The following is a 17,986-nucleotide window of genomic DNA, read 5'->3' on the forward strand; positions in this document are numbered from 1 at the left end:
CCAGGAGGCAGAGGTTGCAATGAGCTGAGAATGCACCATTGCACTCCAGCCTGGGCGACAGAACGAGATTCTGTCTCAAAATAAATACATGCATACATACTTATGTACACATATACATGCACACATGCAGACAAGAGAAAGCTTTTACTTACAGTAGGATGTCAACTAATAAATGTAGAAGGAATGATGGAAATGGGAAATTACCATTTGGCCACCATCATAGCAATACTTTATCCAACCAAGAAATACTGATGGGTGTGAATGTTTAATGAGGAACAAGATACTTGCAAAGGCTTAAAGTCCCTCCCTACAAAACACTAATTAATTACACAGGGGCAAAAGCATTATCTACGTCAATCACCTGATTAAAGTTAACCTCACCAGCAAAGGACAAAATCATGCATCTGCCAGGACGCAGTGAGAAGAGCACAGCGTCACATCCGGGATGTTCCTGCCAAAGGTCCAGAGTCTGCATTGGATCATGAGGAATCCTCAGGCAAGCCCAACTTGAGGGATATTCTACAAAAGATCTGGCCTATAGTCTTAAAAAATTCCCCAGGAATTGTTCTAGATTGAAGAAGACAAAAGACACGTGACAACTAAATGCAACGTGTGATTCTGAACTGGATCCTTTTGTTAAAAAGGATGTAGTTAGGACAACTGGCAAAACGGAAATAAGGTCTGAGGATTCGATGGTAGCGACGCGCTCACGTTGCTTTCCTGATGCTTTTGTTGTGGCTGTGTTGAGGCCATCCTTGTTTGTACTTGGGGATGATGGGGCATCGGGTCGGCAACTGCTTTCAAATGGCTCAGGAAGAAGTTATTTTTATCTGTATTACAACTTTTCTGTAAGTTTGAACTCATTTCAAAGAAAAAAGCTTTCAGAGAGTTATTAAGTGTCTACTAACAGTTGGGCATCTTAGATCAGAGTTGTGGTTAAAAGCTAGCTTTACAAAATATGATACATACATACAATGGAATATATTCAGCCTTAAAAGGGAAGGAAATTCTGACACTTGCCACAACACGGATAAACCTTGAGGACATTTTGCTGAGTGCAGCAAGCCAATCACAAAAGACAAATACTGTATGATTCCACGTTATATGAGGTGCCTCGAGTAGTCGAATTCATAGCAACAGGAAGCACAGCGGTCACTGCCAGTGGCTGGAGGGAGAAGGGGATGGGAAGTTACTGTGTAAAGGGTACAGAGTTTTAGATTGGGAAGATAAAAAGTTCTGGAGATGGATGGTGGTAAATGGTTGCTTAGCAATGTGAGCGTACTTAATACCACTGAACTGTATACATAAAAATAGTTGAGGTAAATTTTGTGATGTGTCTCTTATAGTTCTTTTAAAAATGGGGGGGGAGAGGTGGGGAATAGGCTTTGAAGTGAACCCTGGCTTGGACTCTCAGCTTTAATACTTGTCACTGACAAGCGCTTGTCAGTGGGGACGACAGTGCTGTCTCTGTGGTGCATAGCTAGAGCTCCTGCAGGGAGCCCTGGAGTGCAGGGCTGGGGTGGACACACGGCACACACTCATGTTGGGTGAACTCCTCTTATCATCGCTCATCATGGACTCCATAGCTCAGTAAGGCTGCTGTTGTTTTCCCCAGTGCCCTCCCTTCCTATCTTTAACAACTGCTGGCCACCCAAAGTCTGGACTTGCTATCCTCAACTCTCTAGGAACTTCCACCAGAGACAGAGGTGAAGTGTGTCCCAGCTAAAGGCATATGTAAAAATTTACAGGCACTGATGTCTCTGGAGACAAGGATGGAACTGGTAACAGCTTCTCGGGAGGGTATCTGAGAGACTGGAGGGACACTGATGGGAAACTTCTCGCTGCTAAACCCATTTGTACCCTTTGAATGTGTTTCCACTACAAGCTTATCTATTTAAATAAATGGATAGTGTCAACCTAAACAACAGTCTATCGGAAAGAAAATAACATGATTCAGAACACCGCAATGGGAATATTCATGCCATAGTAAACTATGTGCGTATTAGGGCAGGTAAAGAAAAAGGTTTTTAAAGAAAAAATGAGAGGATTGCATCATTGAGATAATTATCCTTGGCTATAACAACACTGACCAAGGGTGGCGTCAGTCCAAGGCTGGAGAGGCGGTTGCTGGGCTCTTGTCCTTGCAGAAGAATTTGTGTGGTAATAAGGCTGCAGTGGCCTTTCTGCAAAGCTGTGGTTTTTGCAGTCTTGTGATAGTTTTTGTTATCAGGCATTCCGGCATGAGAACCTCTCCCTTCATGGCCTTCCCCAGCTCTACATGTTACGTTTTTTTTTTTTTTTTTTTTTTTTTTGAGACAGTCTCACTCTGTCACCCCAGGCTGGAGTATAGTGGTGCCATCTCGGCTCACTGCAACCTCTGCCTCCCGGGTTCAAGCAATTTTCCTGCCTCAGCCTCCCAAGCAGCTGGGATTACAGGCGCCTGCCACCACGCCTGGCTAATTTTTTTTTTTAGTAGAGATGGGGTTTCGCCATGTTGCCCAGGCTGGTTTTGAACTCCCGAGCTCAGGCAATCCACCTGCCTTGGCCTCCTAAAGTGCTGGGGTTACAGGCGTGAGCCACTGTGCCTGGCCGTGTATGGCTTTTTGACATAAGTGACTCTATTTTGACTCTGACAACTTTCACAATAATCAAATTGCCAGAGAGACCCCTCCCTTTCCCCTTCTCTCTCACACCCTTCAGCCCACTGCCACCTTGCAGTAGCCCCCAGCTCTCCACTCAAACTGCTCTTGCCCTTGTTGACAAATTCAACAAATTTCTCCCTTGATCTTCCTGACTGCTCTGTGGCATTTTGACATTTCAAACACTATTTCCCTGAGCTTCACAGAAACCAGTGAGATATATCCACTATTAGGGGAAGGGCCAACGTCTGTCCTGGCCACTGATGTAGTCCTATGGCCAAGTGCATTGCTTGGCACACTTGTGCCATATATTACATATGCCATTACACACACACACAAAAAATCAAAACAAAACCTCCTGACCAACCTTAACACAAAAGTAGGCTCAACGATAGCACTGGCAAACTCACAAAAGACATCTTCATGTGCAAATAGCCAGAAATAAAGGCAGAGGCCATCAGTTTTTAAATAAAGCAATCTTGGTTGTGATATTGTACCACCTTTTTGCAAAACATTACCGTTGGGGAAATCGGGTAAATATCAATGTTTATACAGTCTATTATTTTTTAAAAACTACATGTGCATCTTCAGTTATTCGCATGTAAAAAGTTTAATTTTAAATACAGCAGGAAGTACAAACCCGATCTGTCAGCTGAAGAAAACATCTACCAACTGGAGGATCATTAATGGGTAAATCAAACAAATGCTATGAGACAATCGGTCGGGACATTTTTTAGTTGCAAGCTGCAAAAATGCAAATAAACCAACATAGAAGGAGTATGTACTGGGCAGCAGTAACTCGGGGCAGGTCACGCACCTATGAGCCAGTGGCTGTAAGGGAAGAGGTGGAAAGCAGAATGCCAATGGTATGGGTGGTTGACTATATTTGGAAAGATCTTACAAGAAAGAAATGAGCCCGCAGACAAGTTTTCCAGTTTATCAGCAGAAATTAAGGGACAGTCCAGATAATTCGAGGACCTATAATGTTGAATAGGACCTATAATGTTGAATAAGTAAACTGACTCGGCTCCAAACAACAAGAAACAAATGCAGAGAACAGTGGAATGACAAAGGCCTCAGTGTGATGATTAAGGAGGAGGCACCCAAGCAAACTTTCCAGCTGGACAAAATGGCTCAGGGGGAAAATAGTCTGGTTTTTTTTTTTTTTTTTTTTTTGCACAGAAGCCCCACAGGTTTAAATCTAGACTCAAAGTTTAAATCTAGAGAGGCATAAGGGTAAGGGAGTGAAGAAATACAGCAGATTTGAGAACTGAGTCACAAAAAAGAACTGAGTGTGGCTTCTGGCCCATGTTACTGATTGCAATCAATCAGGTAAAATTCCTACTACATTTTTGAAGCTTATTCTGACAAAAATAAAACAAACTCACAAGCCCAGGTTCCAGAAGTGTCTGTTCAAAACTTAAAATATTCCTTGGGTCTCCAATCGCCTAGAGGATGAGGATTGAGAAGGCTGCACAACCTCCAAGAAATTCTTGAATGTCTCTTTTGGGTGTGGCCGAAAAGGAGGATGGAAAGGGAGGATAATGGAAATGAAAGAACCTAGCAGAGGGTGAAGCCAGAGGCCACAGAGGACAATGGAATGGGGAGACCCCTGCTAAAGAATGGAACCCAGTCCTAAACAAGCAACATCTGCCAGCCTAGGTGAAGTGGCCCCACAGTGGCTGCCTACTGGGATTTTGGAATTGCTACGGGCCAGGAATGGCAAGGTTTCACATTCCTCCCTGTTCTAATGATTCCTGTTGCTTATCAGGTGGGATGTTGGGCAGACAACCCGAGTTTTCTTAGGTCTAACAGAGGAGCTGCCTAGTCCCCACTGTAGAGATGTCCTGAACCTTGGGTTGGATGCAGTGACTAGACGGTATTTTGGGATCATCTTCCATGGAGCAGGATGAGTATCTTTGTGGGGAAAATACACCATATACTTGGCAGTCAGAAAGGCTAAGATAGACTTCTAGTACTCACCCATACTTGATTCTCCTCTTGTTCTGGGCACTTCCAAGGGACTATGGAATTTTTTAAAATGACATACTAGTCTTGCCCTTCAGGAGCTGTTAGACACACACACAACTATGAATTAAAATGTTTCCTGAGCAAACGTGCTTTTTAGCTCGCACCAGAATCACCTGGAGGGCTTGCTGGGGCCCTCCACATCTCCGAGTCTGGGGTGGGGGCCACATTTCTAACAAGTCCCAGGGTGATGCTGATACTGCTGGTTGGGGATTATACGTTCAGAACCACTGTTGCAATGGATCTGTTAGCACTTATTCAGTTCACGGTGCTAGTGAGTGACACAGAATGCACAGAAACCTTTACCCTCCACCCACCTGATGAGTAAATAGAGGCTAAAGCAAAATGATGGAAACAGGATAAAACCATTCCTTCAATTTTGCTATAGGAGTCACAAACCTCACTAAAGGCCAAAAGTTAAAACAATCAGGACTGGGTTGAGACGAGTTGGCAATACCAATCAAATATCTAAGCTGGTAACTGGAAACATGCCAGAAACAAGAATCTCCAGCAGCAATCACAGATGCCGTCCGAGACAAAAGAACTGGGCTTCAAAATGATACCCTTCTTCCCACCTTGGCTGACCCCCACCGTACACGATGGCGCTCTTAAGACACTCATGACCGCAATCGGCTTGCAAGTGTTGGTAATATTTGTTCATGTATTAACTGTGTTTTACTGGGCTTTTGCAAACAGCAGTTTTCCCAACTAGAGAGAGGCCTAACTGGCTTGAGGTCAGTGACAGCTAATTTGTTTAGGACTGAATTAAGCAAGGGTGTGTTTAAGAGGTGGAATTTTGTGGTGGTCTTGTCTTCCTCAGGATCTCAGAACATACACAATTTTTCTAGATTCTATATCACGAACCCAATTAAAACATGAGAACTCAGTTGAGGATGCAAAGAGGCTTACCTGGTGACCAGTTCCTGAGGAGGAAGAGGCTGGCTTTCTTTCCCCTAAGCCTTCTAGTGCTATTGTCTTGACTCGCCTTCCTGTGCCAGTCTGAATATGGTTACCCAAACCAATCTAGGCACGTCTTCCCTTTCAGTGTTGCTAAGAGCCAAAAAGTCCACCGTCCATCCCAACAGTAACGATGTGCCCAATTACTTCTATAATCTCACGTTCTCAAATGAAATAATCTCGAATCTAGGTGAATCTTGGTGGATATAACAGAATGATTTAAAAAAAAATAGAAACTCTTTGGTATGTGGCACATTTAACATTCTGTGAAAATTCGGGTGTTTCTCATCAACTGGTCCAGCCATCTCTAGTAAAAGCAGCAGCAAAGTAAGAGAACTGAGATGAACCAAAAACTGTCTGCCAAAAACATATATAAAATGCAGTTAATTGAGCATTTGGGGGCAGAAAGGGTGAAGCCTTCTCTGGGCTTTTGCCCTTTGTTGCTAGTTGAGGTCAGTGCGGGATAGGCAAGATGTTGGGAGGGTCAACACAAAGTAGTTGTGTGGAGATCTCCCTCCCAGAAGGATGCCTCACAGGGAAGGAACTTCCCATTAAAGCTATGTGGTCCTGAAGAGGAGACACTCCAGTTAGTCTGAGCAGCTTTTCTGCAAGCACAGGACTGGTTAATTCTGGCCACTCCCTGTCTGCCTAGTAGTAGAGAGGAGTGGAGGGTCCATTTTCTGGGGTTAAGAACTTTGTTGACTCCTGCAACTGTAAGGCAGCTTGAAATGGAACTGCACCTACCAGGTGGGAACAGACCACACGTCAGATATAACTGGCACCTGCCTTAAACGTGTGGCCAGTTTGCTTTAAAATTAGGGCACATGCTACCAAGCATCTTGCTGAATATGGCACTGCAGTGCTCATACAGGGGTATTCATGGTAAAGGTGGAAGTGGAGCCTTTGTCTTAACAGGGAACCAACTGAATTGGTTAAAATTTTGATCAGATTAGCAGCAATATGCAGTAGTAGACTCAACCAAGAACCACAGACTTAGTTAGACATAATCTTGGATATATTATCCAAGGCTTATTATACAGAGTATGTTCAGAGGCCTGGCAGCATCAGCATCACCTGGCAGCTTGTCAGAAACACTCACTCTTAGGTCCCACCCCAGAACTTCTTAATCAGAAATATGCATTTTCCCTTAAATCCCCAGGTGCTACTTCTGCACACACAAGGATGACAAACACTGACACATACCACGGACTACCTCAACTAAAGACCAGTGTCAGTAATGGCTCAGGGAGGAGAGAAACAGCCCACTACTAGCTACACCTACTAGTTTCATAGTTCCAAGTTATATGTACCAATCTTCACTGCCAGTAGATCATGTGTGGTGCACAGAGGCAGAAGACAAAGGTTGCCCTTCACAGACCTGAGGTTTAAGCTTCAGCTGAAGCTTCGGAGTAAAAGTATCAAATAATTTTATTATGAAAGATAAGCCATTTATTGACCATTCACTTTTCTAAAAAAACACAAATGTGAGAATAAAATAAACATACCTAAGACTCACTGGCCCCTCCAGGACAGGAAGCAGCCCTGGACAGAGAGCCTGCAAACGAGTTTCCTTATGCCTAATGTCTGAACTTCTCATACATTCTAGGATTTCATGTTTCGTTACAAAGGAAAGGAAACTGGCTAGAAGATTCATGTACAAGAAGGTCACAACTTTAAAGCTATCTGACGCTAATGACTTGTACAATCTGGTTTGCAAACTCTGAGAGACAGTATCAAATAAGCACTGTCAAAGACTACTCCCAGCTAATCTTTACTGTCATTTTTCTTTGAAATTGTCTTTGGGACTGGCTATGTTCTCACTGTAGCTTCCGTTTATCCCACAGCACAAACCCTAAAGTCCATGTGCAGTCTCCATGTTCAAGTATAAAAGTCTGTTTCAGGACAACCCTGGGTTGCTGTAGTGTTTCTCTCTCTGTAGTGTCTACTTGGTGTCATGCCCTTGGACAGGCTGGCCAAATGGCAGCACAATGCAGGGGGTGACACGGTCAACTCTCCCACTGCCGAACTTGCTCCCCTTTCAATCTGGTCACTGCCCATGGTCAAGGTTGAAATCTTGAGATCAGTGACGACCTTGGCCTATCTTCAGTCTGAAGTTGCACTCTTATGTAACCGAATCCATTTCTTCACCAAAAATTAGCTTTCAAAAGGTGTCTGGCGTATTCTAAAAAGGAAAGATAATCATATCAAAATGTTATTTATTGATAACAGACTATATTCACTTTTATGTTCCTAAAGGAATTTACAATTAAAAAGAAAGACTTAAAATGAATGTTTTACACTCCATATTGGACTCAAGGGCTTCTCTCAATAGAGGAACAAAAAGACAGTCCTGATGCTCTTGCGTTGCTCATCACTGACACTCAAAACGCCCTAGTCAATTCACCTCACTTACTGATTATAACAGGCATCTCAGAGAATCTTAAAAAGAACACCAAATCAGAATGAAGGGATAAAACATATCCCAGCAGTCACCAACAACGGCGAAAAGTCCACTGCTAACTTCATCGCTGCTCCTACTAATGTCTCCCAAAACCTGCAAAAAGCATTCTTTTGTACATCTACAGCTGTTTAAAATTACATTTAATTCCAAATTTAATTTAAAAAGGGGGAGTGTTCCTAACAGAAGAATCCCATGGTAATTGATAGTGGTAAACAAACTCCTTCTAAATTCATGGAAATCGAGTCGCACTCAAAGCAGACTCTGAATCCCATTTAGGATATCACTTCAGAAGGCACTGCTTGATTTTAAATAAAATTGCAAGCCTAAGTTAACTCATGTCCAGGAGAGACTCATTTAAACATTTCAGCAAAATAAGACTTTCATTTGAATCCCCTTTATGCACACCAATCATCCCAGCTGATTTCTAATGAAGCATCTATCCATAGCTTACATGTTTAGCGCTGGTGGAACAGAAAATCAGTCACTGACACAGGAAACTGCTACTAATTAGTTCTCAGTAAAAAGTGACTTATAACAGTAGGTGAAGTCCATCTGCAGTAAATACTTCCTGAATGATCCTCAATTACGGCCTACCCCATTCCTATCCATTTTACATATCTACAAGCCAGAGATGCATACTCCTGGACAGAAGATAGGATACTGGACCTTAGGAAGTGTCCTGAGATGGAGCTGGAGGGTCCTGGCCTTCGGGCTCTGGAGGGGGTGCTGGCACAGCTGCTTTTTTCTGGGCCGCCAGGAACTCATGAATTGCTCGTTCTATTTGTGGCCTGAAGATGTGGTTAAGTTTTGGATCCACCACCTGAGAAATAATCCTGTCTACTCCAGCTTCCAACATCCCTGACCTTGTGGAGACAAACAGATCATTCTGTTATTTAGTTCCTTCGGGATTCATCTTTAGCCCCAATAAGTGTCACGTGCGAGCCCAATAAATGTCCACCTTCAAAGCTACAGCCCTTCTAGGGAGTTTAGAGGTCAATCCACTTACCATATACAGCTCACGCTATTTTCACTTTTGAGGGGTAATTCTCAACCAGCAGCTGTTATTCCTACTGCACAATCTCACCCACAATCACCCAACCTTGTACAAAAGAATCAAAAACAAAACTAAGTGAGTTGCTCCAAAACAACAAACAAATGACAGCATGGTGAGAAAGAGTTTGACACGTGTGGCACTGAAAAGCTTCCTCGTACTGTCAAAGCCAGTAAGCCCCGAATTGGACTCCATTTCCTTCAACATTTATTCTCCTAATAGCCTAAGCAGAAGTAGCTCCAGCAGCAACCTGTTTACTAATCCTTAAAATTTAAACAAGGCCGATCAGTCAGGGCTGGGAGTATTTACATCACCAGCAATTCACCATGGCCTTCAGCTGTAGTTGCTACCTGTAACACATAATAAGCAACTTGGAAGCAAACAAGAAATAGACAAACAAATTAGTTCCAAGCTCCTAGAGGGCTAAATTACATCCCCGATCCTTTCTGAAGTAGAGCAAAAATCAGGGCATATCAATGTCTATATTCAAACACTTGGGACAGGGTACTGGAAATGATGGTGAGAGGAAACAAATCATATTTGGACAGTCTGGAAAATAGCCCGTAAGGTTCAAAGTGAAGTGTTCTTCTCAAAGGACTGAAATATTCCAATACCATCACAAGCATGTGGGCAGGTTTTACTTATTTTCCCGTAGACTTGAGACTTCAGAGGCCATTTAAGCCTTCGGGTAAAAATAGGCTGGGCAGCAAGTGGGCAAATGGTCTGTCAGGGTACAGCAAAGGAAAGACATGAGTAAATGTACATCATGACAAAGAAGATAAGAAACAGGCTGTGAACTGGGAAAGATGATTAGTGTGTAAAGTGCTCCCTGGATTCAATGGTAACTAACAGCTTATCGACAGGAAGCCTAGATGTAAATACACCACCACTAGAGCACTGAAGGGCACATTTTCAGGTAGACCAGGCATTAGACAGTATCGGCCCTTAGTGATGAGCATCGTTAAATACAGCAAAGTTAGCATCCGGCTATGGGATGCTAACAAAGGAAAGCCACCTCTCCTCAGTCACAAGCCAATACCTTTCCAACTTTACCAAACCACTTCCTGAGTCGGATTCACAGGGTCCTTTACCAGATGTAAAAGCTTGATATTATCAACTAAATGCCTGTGTCCCCCAGACTTCCTATGTTGAAATCTAATCCTTAATGTGATGGCCTTTGGAGGTAGGGCCTTTGGGAGGCGATCGGGTCATGGGGGCAGAGCCTCCGCGAATGCAATTTATGCCCTTACAAAAGGGACCCCAGGAAGTTAGCGAGCTCTCTTTCCACCACATGAGAAGAACAAGCAGTTGGCAGTCTGCTGCCTGCAAGAAGGCCTTCCCCTGAACCTGACCATGCTGGCATCTTGGTCTTGGACTTCTAGCCTCCAGAATGGTGAGAAGTAAATTTCCATTGTTTACAAGCCACCTAGTCTACGGCGCCTTGTTAAAGCATCCCCAACTGACCAAAACCCCTGATCAGGGGAAACAAACTACCAAGGGAGTGCAGCTCACTTTCCTGGAGATTCTTAAACTTTTGAGGAAAACATAAAATCTTGTCAGGAGCCCAATGTACAAGATGGAAAAAACAAATATTGTACAGTTACAAGAGTTATTCGTCATAATTCAGTGCAATAGCACAGGCTAATTTCCTGTTAAACCCTCTAGGCTGTGGCACTGGGTTACAGCATCTGGGCCAGAACAGCCAGGCCAGTGAGCCAATGCTCTGAAGGCCTGCAGTGTCCACCTGGGGAGAGCACCTGGGGGCAAGCAGAAAGTCTGCGTTTCGAAACTCCAGTAGATTTTGCCTCAAATTCAAAATGCTAGCAAGAATTGTGGAGAAATGTCCCAGTATTAAAGCCAAGTTCATGTTTTCAGGTTAAACACATTCTAAGTCAAATCAAAAAGCAGGGAAAAAAAAAAAAACAACAACTTCACAGAGGTGGTAAAAACTATGCAGAGAGGAAATGATTAGTATAAAAGTCAGGAATATGGAAAACTTCCGAAAGGAGGAAAGTACATCCGGAGCTAGGCTGTTTCGGGGGTGTGAGTCCATTTCTCGATCTGGGTGATCAAGGGATGTTCTAATTATCTGTTTCACTGAACTTCTGTGCACTTTTCCGTATTACAATTCCTACTAAAGAAATGCAAGAGGAAGCGCCACATGCATACCTCTAGAATGACATCCATGCTCATTACAGAAATCAAAGCAATGTTAACAGCCTTCATACAATCATGGCAACTTTCCAAATATTTCAGAATGTTCAGTGTTTTGATTTACTCAAGACAGGGTAAACACAAGTGACTTTAGCTGTGAAACAGGCTTTTCATGAGGATGAGTGATATATGTAAAGACCAGTGCCAGACATGTAATAAAGAGTTGCTCAGTAAGGGGCAGCTACTGTCCCCTTCTTTCTGAAAGAGCCCGGTGCCACCAGTCTGTTCTCTGGAGAAAGGGAAAGGCACTCGGTACTGACTCCAGAATGACAAGGCACTGGGCATCTTCTGCTATCAGGCTTCTTCCCAGCATTCAGCCATATTGGAAGTACTAGCTTGTTAGTAAAACACTTTTAAAAACTTTAGAAATCTTAAAATCGCTGCATATTCACAGGAAGTTGTGAAGAAGAGTCCAGGGAGTTCCACACGCACCCTTCACCCAGCCAGCTCTAATGTCAGCACCTTGCGTAACTAGTGCAATATCAAAACCAGGAAAATGACACTGGTCCAATCCAGACCTTATTTAGACTTCAGTTACACTTGCACTTATTTGTGTGTGTAGCTCCGTGCGACTTTACCATACGAGCTGTTGCACGTGAGCACAGCACAATTCAGTGACACTTAACTGCACCATTGCAAGCTCCCCCTTGTGCTACCACTTGCAAGTCACACTCACCCCCTCCTCCCATCCGTAACCCCAGGCAATCACTAATGTGTTCTCCCATTTCTGTACCCTCCTCCACCTCCACTTTTGTGCGTCACTCAGATAAGCTATCAATAGCACCTTTATTAACTAAGGTTCAGTTTGTTACTGTGAAGTACGATACTTTATTAAGACTATGCCTTCCTGAAAGCTGTCACCATTACACTTTAGAGGTGGCAGTCCTGGTGGACTCAAAGAATTTATTTAGTTCACATTCACCTGTGAGAATAAAGATCCAACTCCTCTTGCCCAAGATCCAAACCCTGATATCTTGGTATAAAACTCACATATATGTTTGGACAACACTGAAACTTCAAAGAGCAGGGAAAATGTCTCACGATTTGGAATGCCTTTTGATGCACCCAGTAGAGATGCACACAGGAGGCCTTCACAGGCTGCAGAAACTGGAATTTCAACTGAGTACTTTGCTTCCTTTAACCTTAATTATAACAAAAGAGCAGACTGCTGCAACTCCTAAGTGATACTTGATATAAAGTCCCATCAACCTTGACTAAACAGAGACCTCAACCTTCTTGTGCATCACACTTGTGATGACTGCCTTTTCAAAAGCTTTAAATTCTGCTTACTTACTGAACCACACTCTGCCTCAGACCATTTCGCAACTGGTTTTTGTTCATCGTAGGATTCCATTCCTGCTTGTCCAGATGTGTTGACACAAAATTATCCACTTTCTGCCTCAGGTTTTGGTAAGCTGGCTAAAATGTTAAAAAGAGGAGGCAAGGTCAGAAGTTATATGCACCAAAGTTTTGAACTTAGTCTCTCAGAACACTGCTTTTCACAGAAACGTTATTAAGTCTAAATACACTTCCACTGTGCATGAAGATCACCATGCAATGTGGCAGTCAGGAATTAATGGTTAACACAAGTGCCCACCTGATGGTGGGTGGGCACAATGCCAGGCGCTTTACTTATATTATTCCATTTGCTTTTAAGTAACTCTACATGCAGCAGGCCTGACATCAACCCACAGCCTGGACCCACACCTGGGCAGCCTGCAGCCAAGCCACCAGCTGAAGCCTTCCTAGCTCAGCTGAACTTTGGTAGACCTGCCGCCCCATGAACATGTGAACAAGTGCTGGTTATAAGCTGCTGAGATTCAGTTTGCTATGCAGCATTACTGCGGCAAAGTTTGCTAACAGTCAGGGAAATGAAGTTGACAAAGGAACCAGCAGGCCTCAATTCCATGACTGGCCTCTTCCAAAAGGTTGAGAGAGCAAACTCAAAGACTCCACTAAACCTGGAAAAGAGAAAGGCAAGGAAATGGGGGCAGAGGAGTAAAATTCACAGATACCATGTGCTATCTGCCTAGTAACGCCTTCTTTCTAGTAACTGTCTTCCTCTCTTCACAAGGGTAGGGCAGAGGGTGCCACAGGAGTGGGTGCCTGAGCCACGCTAAGACAATGCAGACATTCCCTGGGATTTCCCAGATTGGAGCTGACAGCCTCTCTCTAGAGGAAGAAGCTGTAAAATGTAATCAAGAGATACTAGTAACCAAATGGATGACTCCACTCTGAACCAACAGTAAAACAGATATCAACAGAGATGAAAGACAGAACGAATGGGGAATATCTGGTTCCAAACGCACGCCTACCACCCTCTGGGAGAGTTTGTTCGTTCAATCCTTCCCTGGATTCCGTAAGACAATAGATTCTCCCCTTTGCATAAAGCAGTTAGGATTATTTTTGTCCCTTGTAAGCATAAATCCTGATGCCATACCGTCTACTCAAAATAACGCACCTGGTTTGAGATGATACGAACTGTTTACCGAAAAAGGACAAAGGACAGTGAACATCACCACCAAAACACGTAACAAACCCAGGCGATACAGAATCATCTCAGTTCAAGAAGTCAAAGGAACTCATGAGCCCACTCATAACGTTTTACTGTACTACCAACCCCTCCACCTGTTCACTTATCAGTTCAAAGTAAATTACAGTGCAAAGTAAATTACAGACATCTGTTCAATTTCCCCTAAATACTTCAGCAGTCTGGGGTGGGGCCCAAAATGTGCATTTCTAACAAGTTCTCAGGTGATGCTGATGTTAATCCAAGCACCACGCTTTGAGAACCACTGGGCTGAAGCAACAAAGGTCTCAGATAAGATATGCCTGAAAAAACACTATCTTCAAGAACTAAAACAACCTGGAATTCTCAGAAGGAACAGCTAAGGAGCTGTACATGGGAAGGTTCCAACCACTCTCCCTCACCAGCCGCTCAAGAGGGTAGTCCCCTCCCCCCTCAGGGGATACGTTCCAAGATCCCCAGTGGGTGCCTGAAACCTCAGGTAGTACTGAACCCTATATACACTACGCATGAATGTCTTTGAGGGCCATTATGAAGTAAAATAGGGGTTACCTGAACACAAGTACTTCCATACCGCAACAATTGGGTAAATGAAACCGCAGAAAGCAAAACCTTGGATGGGGCGGGCTACTGTAGTCGCTTTTGTTTTAAAATCACACACAAAACCTAACGGAATATAAGAAATATGAATGGAGAACTTGTCCTAGGAAAGGTGAAAGCTCTGTCAATACAGATCTGGGATGTATATGTATTAAATTACTTTGTTTCAAGGACAGACTTCTAGTTGGGCTTTTCATCTTGGAGAAGGAACAGTGTATACCACTTTCTCTCTCTACATCCGTATTTACCACCTGGTTTATTTACATGTCAGTTTTCTAACCTAGACTATAAGTTTTGAGGATGGGGTAGTGACTTATTCCTGTAATCGCACAGCTTGGCAACTAGAGGCCAATAAACGTTCAACGAATAAACAGACTACGTTTTTCCCTATCTTAAGGTCTAATTCTAAGCTCACAATCTTGCTGTGAGGTAAGCAAAATGTTTCCATGACAGGCTCTGGTAGGAGAAATCACTACCCTGCAGGAGTCCAGTGACAGGGTCTCCTAACCTACAACCACAGTCGTGGCTAGACAAGTTTTGAAAAGGAAGAAAATGAACATTCCAGCAACTACTGTATGTCTGATACTTAACACCCATTATTTCATTGAATCCAAACCACCCTGACGAGTAGGTAAAGTGAAATAGCGTTTTACTGGTGGGACTGACCAATGGCATTAGGATCTCAACTAGGCACCAAATCTCCTTTTATCAATGATGAAGTGCAAAATAAGGGTGCTGTTTCTACAATTTATCTTAATTCAACGCCGTACTAGTCTGCAAAACAATGAGCTAGAGAAAAGGAATAAACAGCTATAAAATGGTGATGACTGTGTGTTCAAATCATTGTGTTTAATGCCAGCTTCTCAGTGGTGAGTACGGAACAGGTGGAAATTCTAAAGCACGCTTGCTTATCTACTTGGTTTCGAAGTTTGTTATTAAGGGCCTCAGAGGAGTTCCATCTTGGGAATGATACGGTCTAGGCTCTAAAACCCACATTGAAACCCCAAGTTCGGAGAAGGGACTGGGTAAAATCACAACTAGTAGTAAATGTATCAGGCAGGAACCCACGTGTGCATCGCTCAGAAAGCTCTCCGTACTGCCCCAAGCGGTGTAAGACCTCACCGCTGAGATTTCTAAGCTATCTTTTGTTTTGCTCTCGGCTTTCGAAAATCAAAGCTGCCACCCGGCGGCCTCACGTGCAGCCCCGCTCCCCAACGCCCAGGCGGCCGCAGCTACCTTGGTGTCCACGTCGGCCAGGCAGTCCCGGCGGAAGCTGTCAAAAAGGCCCCGGCTCTTGAGCTGCTCCACGATGAGAGCGATGAGCTGCGGGTCGCCGGGAGGCAGCGAGGCCGGGTTGATGGGGCCACCGCCCCCGCTGGCCCCAGTAGCGCCAGTCGCTGCCCCGGCAGAGGCCTGGCTAGTTCCGCCGCCGCCCACCGCGCCAGTTCCCCCGCCGCCGCCGCCGTCCGCCATGGCTGCGCCCCGGGCCCACAAGGGAGAACGACTATAGCTTCTTCTCCAGGACAGAAGGCCTAGAACGTGTAGAGGTGGTGAAGGGGGCGGTGAAGGAGGAGGGCCCCAAGGCGGCAGCGGCGGAGGTGGCGATGGCGGCAGGGGCGGTGGTGGGGGCGGCGGCGGCGAAGGCCCCCTCTGATACAGCAGAGGTTGTGGTGGACGCGGCAGAAACGGCCTGCTCGATTCCAGGCGCACCCCAGATGGCGTCAACGTTGACCTTTGCATTGTGGGGCGGGAAGTTTTCTGTGGCCATCTCCGGCGTTCTTTATAGGCAGCGGCCTAGCCGAGAGAAACTACAACTCCCGGCAGGGTTCGTGCTTGCTCGTCGCGATTTCGCGGGGTAATATGGGAACTGTAGGCGCAGGCCTCGTGATCGCTGCAACCCGCCAGGCCTTCCCCGCCAGGCCTTCCCCGCCCACTCTCTGCTCACTTCCCATTCAATCAACACGTCCCAGCAGTGCCCGATTATAACAGTCATCTGTGGAGCTGATTAAAAGTATAGATTACCAGAATTATTTCTTAAAGATTTTTATCCAGTATTTACGGGTCGAGACCTAGCAATCTGTGCTTCAGCATGCACTCCCACGTCCTTCTTGAACAACATGTTCCGGGAAATTCCGGAAACAGTGGAACAGTCAAACTTCTATTGTTCAGAAATTTGTGAGTTTCCCTCCTTTTGGTTTTAATAGCAATGCATACTCATTTTAGAAAATTGGAAAATAACGGAAAAGTGTGAAGAAGAAAATAAAAGTTTTCCTTAAGTCTGTCTTATATGTGTGTGGATTTCCTCCCAAATATTAAATATTGTCAATCATAAGCCAATATTGAATAATTGAAAAGTGTCAGGCGTGATGCTATGCACTTTCCACGCACTTCTTCACGATAATTTAAAAAAGCAGATACATACTACTATTATTGCTATTTACAGACGTAGAAATGGAGGCAGAAGAAAGTTTGTTAACCTAATCACATACCTAGAGGTAGAAAAGTAGGATTTGAACCCAGGTTTTGAGGATCTAAATCTTGCATTTTAGCCTGAGGTATCCTGAGAGCTAGTTGGTATCCCACAATAGGTAAGGCTTTATATCCTGATTTTTTTAAGTAGCCACAATTCACCATTGGAATCCTATAGCTGCCACCATTATCCTCTCTTCCCTTCATCTTTTGCCTATTGTTAGCTCAGCTCCCCCTCCCAACCTCAGCAATTATGTCTGCTATTGTTGTTTCCTCATCTTACACAAGCAGCAGAGGGGATGTAAATAGCAAATTCTGCAATATCCTTGGCTCCTGCGAAGATGCAGAATTGGCAAAGATCCAGGATGTTCTCCACACCAATATTTAGTACTCAAGACAGTTTAATTTTTTTTTCTTTTTTTTTTTTGAGACAGAGTCTCACTCTATCGCCCAGGCTGGAGTGCAGTGGTGCAATCTTGGCTCACTGCAGCCTCCACCTCCTGGGTTCAAGCAATTCTCCTGCCTCAGCCTCCCGAGTAGCTGGGATTACAGGCGCATGCCACCATACCTGGCTAATTTTAGTATTTTTAGTAGAGATGGGGGTTTCACCATGTTGGCCAGGCTGGTCTTGAATTCCTGACCTCAAGTGATCTACCCGCCTCAGCCTCCCAAAGTGCTGGGATTACAGGTGTGAGCCACCACACCTGTCCAAGAGAGTTTAAATTAACCCTCAAAAGAAACATTCAGGTGTTGGATTATACTCATCCTCTAACACCAGCTCAATCATTCACAATGGGTCAGTTAATGACAAACATTCTCTCTTAATAGCTCACCATCCTTGAGATTACCTAATGTCTGTTCCTACTGGTTGACTCTACACTGATCACTCACCTTTAACCCCAGGAGAAGCCCAGTTCAGGCTGCCTCAGCCCCAGGTTCTTTCTTCTGCAAGCCCTTGATCACTCTGACTAGTCCCTTCTCCATTTTTGGCACCCCACATCTTACTCTCCTTCCTCAGGGAAAATTCTTCTGACCCCTAG

General features: G+C 44.3%; 1 protein-coding gene across 6 annotated transcripts, besides 4 other annotated features; it reads right to left on the reverse strand.

Moving 5' to 3' along the window:
* Positions 1–6,658: 6,658 nt before the first annotated feature.
* Positions 6,659–16,164, reverse strand: BOD1 (biorientation of chromosomes in cell division 1). Of its 6 annotated transcripts, none has more exons than NR_164700.2 (5): positions 15,714–16,164; positions 12,645–12,769; positions 9,092–9,184; positions 8,752–8,948; positions 6,659–7,806 (listed from the first exon to the last, which is right to left on the reverse strand). NR_164700.2 is itself a non-coding variant. In NM_138369.3 (4 exons), exons 1-3 carry the CDS (start codon positions 15,948–15,950, stop codon positions 8,753–8,755), a joined length of 558 nt encoding a protein of 185 aa, NP_612378.1. In that variant the 5' UTR covers positions 15,951–16,164; the 3' UTR covers positions 6,659–7,806; position 8,752. The 6 variants fall into 6 exon arrangements, 2 of the variants coding, with proteins under 2 accessions (NP_612378.1, NP_001153123.1); NR_164703.2 differs by having other exon boundaries at positions 12,641–12,769; NR_164702.2 differs by lacking the exon at positions 9,092–9,184 and having other exon boundaries at positions 12,641–12,769.
* Positions 15,971–16,020: a silencer, noted in NCBI's record as "silent region_16639". NCBI's record gives its function as "represses an Ori minimal core promoter by ATAC-STARR-seq in GM12878 lymphoblastoid cells {active_cell/tissue: GM12878}" and the evidence as "EXISTENCE:reporter gene assay evidence [ECO:0000049][PMID:35858748]".
* Positions 16,031–16,100: a silencer, noted in NCBI's record as "silent region_16640". NCBI's record gives its function as "represses an Ori minimal core promoter by ATAC-STARR-seq in GM12878 lymphoblastoid cells {active_cell/tissue: GM12878}" and the evidence as "EXISTENCE:reporter gene assay evidence [ECO:0000049][PMID:35858748]".
* Positions 16,081–16,340: an enhancer, noted in NCBI's record as "active region_23655". NCBI's record gives its function as "activates an Ori minimal core promoter by ATAC-STARR-seq in GM12878 lymphoblastoid cells {active_cell/tissue: GM12878}" and the evidence as "EXISTENCE:reporter gene assay evidence [ECO:0000049][PMID:35858748]".
* Positions 16,361–16,440: an enhancer, noted in NCBI's record as "active region_23656". NCBI's record gives its function as "activates an Ori minimal core promoter by ATAC-STARR-seq in GM12878 lymphoblastoid cells {active_cell/tissue: GM12878}" and the evidence as "EXISTENCE:reporter gene assay evidence [ECO:0000049][PMID:35858748]".

Source organism: Homo sapiens, chromosome 5, assembly GCF_000001405.40.
Source record: "Homo sapiens chromosome 5, GRCh38.p14 Primary Assembly".
NCBI classification, from domain to species: Eukaryota; Metazoa; Chordata; class Mammalia; order Primates; family Hominidae; genus Homo; species Homo sapiens.

Bases quoted from the DNA above. Each gene is read 5' to 3' on its own strand.
- BOD1 (NM_138369.3), bottom strand. From the start codon at position 15,950: ATGGCGGACGGCGGCGGCGGCGGGGGAACTGGCGCGGTGGGCGGCGGC. The intron at 12,770-15,713 runs GTAGCTGCGGCC...TTAACATTTTAG, and splicing joins TGGCCGACGTGGACACCAAG to CCAGCTTACCAAAACCTGAG. The intron at 8,949-12,644 runs GTAAGTAAGCAG...TGTCTCCACAAG, and splicing joins CTGAGGCAGAGTGTGGTTCA to GTCAGGGATGTTGGAAGCTG.